General features: G+C 45.9%; 1 protein-coding gene across 1 annotated transcript, besides 1 other annotated feature; it reads left to right on the top strand.

The window, feature by feature from the left end:
- Positions 1 to 10,863: part of a sequence alteration artifact (region identified as an assembly artifact by the Genome Reference Consortium. This region falsely duplicates sequence located at GRCh38 chr21:44095806-44253496) that runs on past the window's edge.
- LOC102724200 (trafficking protein particle complex subunit 10-like) lies at positions 783 to 10,473 on the top strand (the record flags this gene model as incomplete). The annotated part of the gene is made up of 4 exons (XM_011546082.4): positions 783 to 908; positions 2,552 to 2,729; positions 6,973 to 7,167; positions 7,488 to 10,473. Coding segments are annotated over 4 exons (738 nt in total), but the record flags the coding sequence as incomplete, so codon positions are not given.

Below are 10,863 nucleotides of genomic sequence, written 5' to 3'. Positions count from 1 at the left end.
GATCCACCCCGCTTGGCCTCCCAGAGTGCTGGGATAACAAGCATGAGCCGCCGTGCCTGGCCCAAAGTACGGGTTTGTATGTTGCTGTATCTATTCAATTCTCCTGGTAAAGACCTGAGTGGAATTTCTGGGTCATAGGGTAACTCTGTGGTTAGCTTTTTGAGCAACTGCCAACTTTTTCCAGAGGGCTCTACATTCCCACCAGCAACATAGTGGATTCCAGCTGGGACCCAGAGAGTCCCAGCTTCTGTGTGTCCTGCCAGCACTTGTCTCACTGTGTTTTTGGTTGTGGCTGTCCCAATTGGCAGGCGTTTCCCCAGTGGCTGGTGATGTGCTGCGGCTCGTGGGCGTGTGGCCCATTTTTCTGCCTTCTTTGGAAGGATGTCTGTTCAGATCCTTTCCCCATGTTTAAATAGGGTTATTTGTTTTTTATTATTGAATTGTAAGTTCTTTATATATCCTAGGTACCAGGTCCTTATATATGATTTGCAAGTATTTTCTTCCATTTGTTGTCTTTTGAAGCACCAAAGTTAAATTTTGATGAAATCCAATTCAACTCTCTCTTTTATTGCTTAAATTTTTTGCTTTGGACCTAGAAAATCATTGCCTTTGGTCAAAAAGATTTTCTCTTGCATTTCCTTCCAAGATGTTCGTAATTTGAGCACTTGCATTTAGGTCTGTGATCTACTTTGACTTAATTTCTGTGTATGGTGAGAGGTAGGGTCCAAATTTGTTCTTTTCAAATGACCCAGCAGGTGTCCCTATCCCATCTGTCATGACGATGCTTTCCTCCCTGCAGGGTGGCCCTGGCCCCCTTGCCAGATTCCAGCTGGCCGTCAGTGCTCGCGTGTCTCTCTGAAGAGGCTCTGCGGTTCTGGTCCCTGTGCCTGAGCTCCAGGTGCCGCCAGGTGAGGCCCCTGCTGCTCGCCTTGGGCTGTGCTTTCCCCCAGCCACTCTCCTTCCCAGATGCAGCCCAGAGCAGCGTTCAGGCACACGCAGGTCTCATCACACCCCACTGTGTCCTACTGCAACTCTGGGTGTCCTTCAAGCCCTGAGGCAAATCTGCATTCTTTGCTGGATTCAGAAACATTCAGACTGTGCCCCAGCCAGAAGCTTCTGAGGAGGAGGTATTTCAGTGGGCCTCTAGCACAGTGTTCTACTGCTTCAGTTCCCAGGACCTACGGGCACCCGGGCCCACGGCTGGCACTTTTGCATCTGTGTATTTGGGATCTTTTCTGCCCTGTGGCTTGAGAGCCCCAGGAAGTCCCAGCATGGCCCCTCTTGAGACTGGTGGGAGTTTGTCCCATGTCCGAACAGAGGTAATTGGGCATTTGGTAGGAGATCACCTAGAAAGGCCGCTCTTGGGACTGCTGTTTAGGCTGTGAACTCCCATAAAACGGCTTCATCTTGGCCTCAGACTCCAGACAAATGCTTCTTAATATACTGAAATCTCTTCTTTGAACATTTTACAATGCCAATAGAACACTTTTTAAGTCAAGCTATACTGTATTACACACGCTCGCGCGCACACACAACGCTTCCCCTCAGAAGTGGAACTGCCAGGTTGTAGTGCATGAGCCCTTTTTCATCTTGGCAGTGGCAGATGTGTTTTGATCGTTTGTCATGGGTGGTGGTAGAATGTTAAGCATGTTTGAATAGCCACCGAGAATAGGTTGATTATGGAAAGAAAACACGGACAAAGTAGATTATGGACTGAATTGGGTTATACCAAGGAATTCCTGTTGCTTTTGCTAGTTGTAATAATAGCATTGTGTTTTGGTAAGAAAAAGGCCTTAGTGTTTAGTAATGCATACTGAAGCAGATGGGGCAAAATAACAGGTTGTCTGAAATTTGCTTTATTTTTTTATTTTATTTTATTTTTTTAGACAAGAGTCTTGCTCTGTCACCCAGGCTACAGTGCAGTGGTGCGATCTCAGCTCACTGCAACCTTTGCCTCTTGGGTTCAAGGGAATCTCCTGCTAAGTAATCCAAGTAGCTGGGATTACAGGCACCTGCCACTGTACCCGGCTAATTTTTGTATTTTTAGTAGAGACGGGGTTTCACCATGTTGCCCAGGCTGGTCTCGAACTCCTGACCTCAAGTGATCTGCCCACCTCGGCCTCCCAAAGTGCTGGGATTACAGGCGTGAGCCACCATGCCTGGCCTGAAATTCGCTTTAAATTACCTCAGGCAAATACAGAAATGTCCATGGCTTGATAAGAGGATGCTGAGGCAGCAAGATGCTGAGATCTCAGGATCTGGGTGATAGGCGGCTGGAAGGGCTCTGTGCTATCCTTTCTTCCTGTGGTTGAAAATGTTCATAATTTAAAGAAGGATGTTAAGGTTCGGAGTGTAGGACTTCCGAAAACATTGCATCTCCAGTGGGAATTATTGAGAGTGAGTGGCGACAGTTGCTCTAAGGCCAGCCGAGCAGATAGGTGTCTATCCTCAGCTCTCCAGGGTCTGTGGGCAGCTCTGCTTTTTCCTCTAGTTGCATTTCTTGAGGCCACTTAGGTACATTTCCTTTCTATTCTCTCCCTTTCCTGCCCAGACATTATACAACGTGAAGGCTGAGATCTTTCCCCCTTCGGGAATGGAGTATTGCAGAACAGGCTCCCTCTGCTCCCTGGAGGTTTTGATCACGAGGCTCTCAGACCTCTTGGAGGTGGATAAAGATGAAGCACTGACTGAATCTGATGAGCATTTTTCGACAAAGCTTATGTATGAAGGTAGGTGGTCTCGAACCCATGGGCTCAAGCAGTCCTCCCGCCTTGGCCTCCCAGAGTGTTGGGATTACAGGTGTGAGGCACTGCACTCAGCCTATCTTGCATTTTGAATGGCTCTTTTACCCAGGCATCATAGCGTTACACCCTGTGCCATTAGTCATGTGGGAAACATGGTTTCCTGAGTTGTGCAGATCTTCCAAATGTGGGCACCTTTCGTTTGACAATATTTTTTTAAAATCTGCATTTGTGATCTCTCAGGGAGGGCTTGGAGCATCAGAACTCTTTCAAGCTCACAGTGGCAAGTGTAAGTTTTCCAAAATTCTGATTTTTGCTTAAAGTCTCAGATGGCATCATTGGCAGCAAATAGTCGTGTTGTTTTCTTTGAAGTGACAGGCTTACATCATTCATTTTTAATCAGACGTCTACCAAATACCCAACACTGAATAACTAGCTTCCCCAGCGCTCTTGCAAGTGAAAAGGGCGTTCTGTGAAAACAGCGGCTATTTCAGCTCGCAGCACCGAGCGCTCCCCGTGTGCTTTCCCTGAGCCAGCTGTCATTCTGCAGCAGAGACCCAGAGAATGTCAAGAACACAAGCACTCAAGAATGGAAATAACTCAAACGTCCTTCAGCTCGAGAGCGGTTAAACTGGCACATCTGATTCCTCCTCAGCAGTGAAACAGAAGGGACTGTTGACACACGCAGTGCTGTGGTTGGATCTCAAGGGCATTATACTAAGAGAAAAACGCCAGTCCTATAAGGAGGTGTACTGTGTGATTCCATTTCTAAATGACATCCTCAAAATGCCAGCCTCAGAAGGAGAGCGGGTCAGTGTTCCACGGAGCAGTGGGAGGCAGCAGGAGGCCGTCCTCTGTGGTAATGGAGAGTTCTGGGCCAGGGCCGCTGTGGTTGTTACACGAATCTACACATGTGACAAATGCCATAGAATTAGACCCAAAGAATGCCTGCGAAAGCTGCTGAAATCCAGTGGGGTCTGCAGCCTGGTTCACTCTGTAGTGAAATCCAGTGGGGTCTGCAGCCTGGTTCTATCTGTATTGAAATCCAGTGGGGTCTGCAGCCTGGTCCACTCTGTAGTGAAATCCAGTGTGGTCTGCAGCCTGGTTCTATCTGTATTGAAATCCAGTGGGGTCTGCAGCCTGGTCCACTCTGTAGTGAAATCCAGTGGGGTCTGCAGCCTGGTTCTAGCTGTATTGAAATCCAGTGGGGTCTGCAGCCTGGTCCACTCTGTAGTGAAATCCAGTGGGGTCTGCAGCCTGGTTCTATCTGTATTGAAATCCAGTGGGGTCTGCAGCCTGGTTCACTCTGTAGTGAAATCCAGTGGGGTCTGCAGCCTGGGTCACTGTATGGTACCAGTGTCAGCTTCCTGTGTTACACGAGATGGCACAGTTGGGTGAAGCTGGTGATGAAGGTATGTGACCCCTCTACTACTTTTACAACTTCTTGTGAGTCTATAAACATTTCACAATTAAAAAAAAGTCTACTCAGGAGCTGAATTTAATAAAATGAGCACTTTTGACTGCTTTGTGAAGCGTGGCATTTTTTTTTTTGTTTTTTTGCTGTGAGTTCATGGTAGTAAAGAACATGAGTGACATGACTGCGCAGTCTGGCCCGAGTTCATGCCATTGTGGTTGCCCCAGCAGCGCGAGGTCAGCAGCGTAGAAAGGCAGCAGTGTGAAAGCTATGAGCTTGCGGGTGCCCTGAGAGCCACACTCTGAGAACTGTCACTCCTTTGCCTTCCTCCTGACACTCCTAGGGCCTCTGCATGTCCTGTAGTAGCTCCTGTCCTCAAAGGTCCCCCATCCCCAACTACAGGATGTCCACCTCCCTGAGCCCTTCTCTGCTGCTCGTGGCCTTCTGGTCACTCACTCCCCCTGGGCGGTTGCTCGGTATCCTCATGATGGGAAGCTGTGACCTCTTTACCAGGTCTACTGCTACTGGATGGCAAGGATCCTGTCTTGCTTACTTTCATATCTCCAGGGCTAGTCCCAGTGAATGATCACTTAAGTGTTTGAATTGCATTGAATTACATGATGGTTGTGTTTTAATAATTAATGTTAATAATAACACCTGCCATATATTAAGACACTACCATGTCCCAGGAGTGGTACTAAGTGCTTTACATACAAGGGGTCTTCAAAAAAATCATGGAAGATACGTTATGAAAAAACTATGCATGGATTTCAACACTTTTTGCACCAAAATAAGCTCCTACTCACTGAGCAGGATCTAGTTTGAGGCACTAAGAAGGATAAGACATCAGTTTTAAAAGAGCCCCTATCAGAGCAACATGAATTCTGCTAAAATTAAATCAAGAACCAACATTGGCCGGGTGCAGTGGCTCACGCCTGTAATCCCAGCACTTTGGGGGGCTGAGGCAGGCGGATCACCTGAGGTCAGGAGTTCAAGATCAGCCTGGCTAATATGGCGAAACCCCGTCTCTACTAAGAATACAAAAATTAGCTGGGCGTGGTGGCAGGCGCCTATAAGCCCAGCTACTTGGGAGGCTGAGGCAGGAGAATTGCCTGAACCCAGGAGGCGGAGGTTGCAGTGAGCCAAAATTGCGCCACTGCACTCCAGCCTGGGCAACGAGCGAAACTCCGCCTCAACAACAACAACAACAACAAAACAACCAACATCAAATTTATGGTGAAGCTTGGGTGGAAGAATGGTGAAATCATTGATGCTTTATGAAAAGTTTATGAAATTCTTTGGACAGTGCCCCAAAGAATTAGTAGTTTGCAAATGGATATCTTGTTTTAAGAAGGGACGAGATGATGCTGAAGATTAAGGCCACAGCAAGCAGACCATCCACATCCATTTTCAAGGAAAAAATTCACCTTGTTCATGCCCTAATTGGAGGGAACTGACAACAGCAGAAATGACAGCCAACACCGCAGACATCTGAACTGGTTCAGCTTATGCAATTACGCCTGAAGGGTGAGCAAGCGTTCCACTCAGTGGGTGCCAAAACCCTAGTACCCAGGTCCGTGGCCGACCAGAGCAGAGCTTCCCATGGAAACTTCAAACACACGGGATCAAGATCCTGAAGCATTTACTCAAAGAACCATAACAGGAGATGCAGTGTGGCCTTCCCAGTACCATCCTGAAGACAAAGCAGACACGGCAATGGCTACCAAGAGGTGGGGTGGCCCCACCAAAGCAGAAGCAGACTGGTCAAGAGCAGAGGCCACAGCAACAGGTTTTTGGGATACTCAAGGCATTTTGCTTGTTGACTTTCTGGAGAGTCAAAGGACAGCAGCGTCTGTGTATTATGAGATTGTTTTGAGGAAGATAGCAAGAGCTTTGGTAGAAAAACCCCTGGGGAAGCTTCACCAGAGAGTCCTCCTCCACCACGACAAAGCTCCTGCTCATTCCTCTAACAAGCCCAACTTCGTGAGGGTTTCTATGGGAAATCATGAGGCATCCACCTTGTGGACCTGATTCGGCTCCTTCTGACTGATTTTGGTTTCCTGATCTTAAGAAGTCTTTAAAAGGCACCCATTTTTATTCAGCTAATAATGTAGAGAAAGACTGCGTTGACATGGCTAAATTCTCAGGCCTCCCAGTTCTTCAGGGATGGACTAAATGGCATCGTAAGCAATGGCATCATTGCTTACAAACATGTCTTGACCTTGGTGGGGCTTATGTTGAGAAATAAAGCTTATATTTTCTGTTTTCATCTTTGGATTCCATTTTTGCATGAACTTTTTGTAGTTCCCTCATACGTATTCTCTTTCCATCCTTAAAAAGCAGCTCTGTGAGGCTGGTGGTGGTCTCAGCACTATACAGCGGTCATTGAGCCTGGAGGCCTTGGGGTGCTCTTCTGAGTGGCAGAGTTGGCTTCAGACCCAGTGGTCTTGGATACTGCCACTTACCAGACAGAACCCATTAACTGCCAAAGTCACCATACTGTGGAAGATGACACAAAAATTTGAAAACAAAATTAAATCATTTATTAACCTCACAGGAAAAATGCAGTTTTCTGTACACGTCCAGCATAATTCATTCTAATCCAGAACTAATTGAAATTGGACTCAATGAAATAGGGGTTGCCACCGTGAAAGTGCATGGCTTTATCTTCAGGCGCAGCTACAAGGCACTGGGCTCTGTGTCCGCAGTGTTTTGTCAGACAGCGTTGGGTGAGAGGATTGGGTAACGACGGCCGTGACTCTCGCCTGAGTACTGGAAGGCCCGTCCTGGATGACACATCGCTTCCTCTCGTTTCAGTTGTCGACAACAGTAGCAACTGGGCAGTGTGTGGGAAAAGCTGCGGTGTCATCTCCATGCCAGTGGCTGCTCGGGCCACTCACAGGGTCCACATGGAAGTGATGCCGCTCTTCGCCGGGTATCTCCCCCTGCCCGACGTCAGGCTGTTCAAGTACCTCCCCCATCATTCTGCACACTCCTCCCAACTGGACGCTGGTAAGGACTTTGGAAGAAAAAGTTTACCTTCAGTATTTGAGCAGGTGAGCACTTTGTGCGAGAGGTGATAAACTTATGACTGAGCAGGTTGGAGAACTAGCGGCGTGTTTTCAGTGCCGGTAGAAACTGGTACTAGAAGCCTCATCCGCTGTTAGAATCTTAGGCACCTGCTCTGAAAGCCAAGCCTCTGTGCACAGAGTGCTCTGTAAAGGGGCAGCCTCGGGTGGCATTCTGCACGTTCAGCCTGGCTCCGTGTGGCTTTGCCCGTCCCCAGGTGAGTGTCGGCGCAGCTTGGGTCTAACTTCCTGTGTGTTTTGCAGACAGCTGGATAGAAAACGACAGCCTGTCAGTAGACAAGCACGGGGACGACCAGCCGGACAGCAGCAGCCTCAAGAGCAGGGGCAGCGTGCATTCGGCCTGCAGCAGCGAGCACAAAGGCCTACCCATGCCCCGGCTGCAGGCACTGCCGGCCGGCCAGGTCTTCAACTCCAGCTCGGGCACACAAGTCCTGGTCATCCCCAGCCAAGATGACCACGTCCTGGAAGTCAGTGTAACATGACAACGCCAGGGTGAACACACGCCACTTCCCAGCTAGGAGTGCACTTTATGGGACTGTGACTGGACTCTTCCGTTCTGGCTCCAGCCAGACCTTCAGTGGTCCTGCCTGGCCGTGGGGACATCAGAGAGTGTCATCACGCAGCTGGCCAGCTGAGTTCTGTTGTTGTTTTCATGCCGCCTGTGATCTCAGATTCCTGCTTTTCTCACCCCGTCCCCATGCTGGTGTCCGACGCCGCTTACTCAGAGCCCTGGCCTCCCTCCCCCTACCTCACACGCTGCTCATGAAAGTTTCCACCCACGCTGTCTCCACGGAACAGCCTCCGTCTGCTGGCTCTTCGTGGAAGGCCATTTGTCTTTCAGGTAGACACTCAGCAGCCCTCACGGTCTTAGTGACGTGTGTGCCTTTCTGGTCACACAGCTGCCCAGTTTCCTGATCGGGGTGGATTTGTGTCCCCTAAGGGGTAAAACAGCCGTTTACCGCAGATCCTCTCATTGTGCTTTTCTAGAATAACACCCTTCTAGGGGAGGCGGGTGGGGGAGGGAGGGATCATAACCCCTTCTGTGCCTTGGGATGCCGGAGCTGGGGGACCTGGAGGCCCATCAGCCGGAGCCACGTGAAAGGTACTGAAGAAAGCTGAGACCCGGCTGTGAGGAGCGCCTCAGCGGTGAGGTGGTTTAGGGATAAATGTTTCTGGAACCCTGTGGTCCCCCATAATGTTGATAGAATATCATATGCACTGGGAGTTAAATATATTTAATTTAATGATCATTATATATGTGGGGGTTAATATGTTGTTTTTCTGTCCCTTTAAAGTCTTTACATGTAATTGTAGCTGTATAATCGTTATTTTTCTTTTGCATCTTAAGTCTTAGAAATTAAGATATTCCATCGTGAGGATGAGAGAGGTCCTCAGTGTGTTTTTGGTCTGGTTGTAGGGAAGGACTCAAGTCCTGGAATGTCCTCCACTGGTCTACTGAGTTGCAGTCACACTGTTCCAATGGATTATTTGCTTTCGGTTGTAAATTTAATTGTACATATGGTTGATTTATTATTTTTAAAAATACAGACTAACTGATGTAATGTTTATGTATAAGTTGCACCAAAAATCAAGGACAAAAATAAGTGTGTTTGTTTTTACAGGTGTGAAAGTCACAGCTTGTAAATAAGTGTTGTATGTATTAAACCTTTTCCAGTTCTCCAAAGCGATGTATTTTTGTACACTTGAAATAGAGTACTCTTAATTTACTGGGCAAATGTGCTTGGAATTGAACTTGACAAGATTAGCTCAAGCAGATAGAGTCGGGTCCAGCAGTGGGTGGCCCTCGTGTGAATCCCCGTGGATGTGCAAGTTGTGGAGAGAAGGAGCACCGGGTTCCTGCCCAGCACTGTGCTTGCGGGAGGCGGTGGGGCATGGGAGGAAGGAGGCACAGACCGGGGAAATATGACAGCCGTCATTTCCAGTATTCTCTGTGTTGTCTTTTAGCTCATTCAATAAATAAAGGTGGTGTGATTTTTTTTTCCTCCTGTCTTTTTCATTTGTAGAAACTGGAGACGTGTAAAGAAGATAAATAATTGTGTAATTAAACTTTCCAGAAATTTATCTTCCTCATGTGCAGTTTAACAAACTTGGTCAAACTAGTTAGCAAATTAGAACTTCAGAATCTAATGATAGTTTAGGGTTTCTAAAATAAGGTTTTTTATTGTAAAAATTGACGATTGCCCTGCATTTCTACCAAGTCCTGTGAATAAAGAGATGGGAGATTTGATTCCGTCAGAAGAGACTGTAATCCGTGTCGTCAGCCTGGGAGCCTTCCCCAGTGTAATGTAGCTTTCTCTCTTACCTTCTGGAAGAGGGAATGTTTCATTTATTACTGTTTGATTTTCTTGTATCTGGTTCTACTCCCAGGATGAAATTATCCAACTACATATATATTTAGAGGAAGAAAGTGAAGGGGAAATTTAAAATGTTTACGGCGCTTAATTGCCTGGAAATGAAATGAAATCAAATTTATCAGTTTTTTTCCCCCTAATTACCCAAAAGATCTTTTGCAAACTATGTTACATGAATGCTTCTGCCTCTTTAAGACAAAGAAGAATGTCACCCAAAATTGTCATTTTTTTCTTAATGTTCATCATAAAAGTCCTAAAAGAGTAACTGTAATTGGATGTTTATTGTTTTTATCTAAAGTAAGGTGTATGTGTTTGAGACAAGCTGGTTTTGTTGATAAAGAGATGTTAAATAATTGTGAAGCCAGATATGCAATGTGTATCTAAAAAGCAAGGAATTTGCAGCCGTTTTACAAATATCTGTGGAACATGTAAATACTGTCAAATGGAAAATAAAATAAGTTATAATTTTTGTGAATTTCATGGGATGTCCTATGATTGGAAAAATTATAACTCTTCTGATTCTAATGTGGAAATTGTTGTATTTAATCTGAAAATGACTTTACCTACAACAGTTCCATTGTCAGCACAGCCTAGGAGGGTCAGATTCCTGTATTAATTACTCTTAGTGGAGATGCCAGATATCCCATACAGAATTAGCAGAGAAAATACACACAGGCTTCTATTCAAATTTTCTTTAGTGCTTAAAATTAAGTTTTAAAATGAAATCAGACACTGCAGGTTTGTATATAAAATGAAAAGCTATACTACTTTTTATAAAAGGGCAAACTGGGCTGATGTAAATGTTTTACTTTCAACTGTGTTCTTTAAAATAAATCCTACCTGGTTTTTAAATTTTATTTTTCATGAAAATGCTCCTTTCTCTACATTTATTCATCCTATATACATCAGGCTGTAAGACCCCCCCCAGTCATCATTAATACAATGTGTTGGGATTCTGTGACTGGAAAAGGTGACAAGTTGGTGACTTTGACACTGCAGGTATTCCATTTTCATGGTTTACTATGAAAAGTCATTTTTCATATTATGTAATATATTGTTAGATTAAAACCATTGTATTAAGACTTTAAAATGTAAGCATTGTAATTCTGAAAATACACATTTTAAGAAGAAACTATTTTGCACTGGATCTTTTGCTGCGACATGGTGTGACAACAGTATGTAATGTGAAGATTTTATTGTTTTATCTCCCTAGTCCTTGTTCCTGACTCTTGGGCATAGATTATTTG

The sequence above is a fragment of the Homo sapiens genome, chromosome 21 (assembly GCF_000001405.40).
Source record: "Homo sapiens chromosome 21, GRCh38.p14 Primary Assembly".
In the NCBI taxonomy this organism is placed as follows: Eukaryota; Metazoa; Chordata; class Mammalia; order Primates; family Hominidae; genus Homo; species Homo sapiens.
The sequence above is the reverse complement of the archived record's forward strand: the minus strand, read 5'-3'. Positions and strand labels throughout refer to the sequence as shown.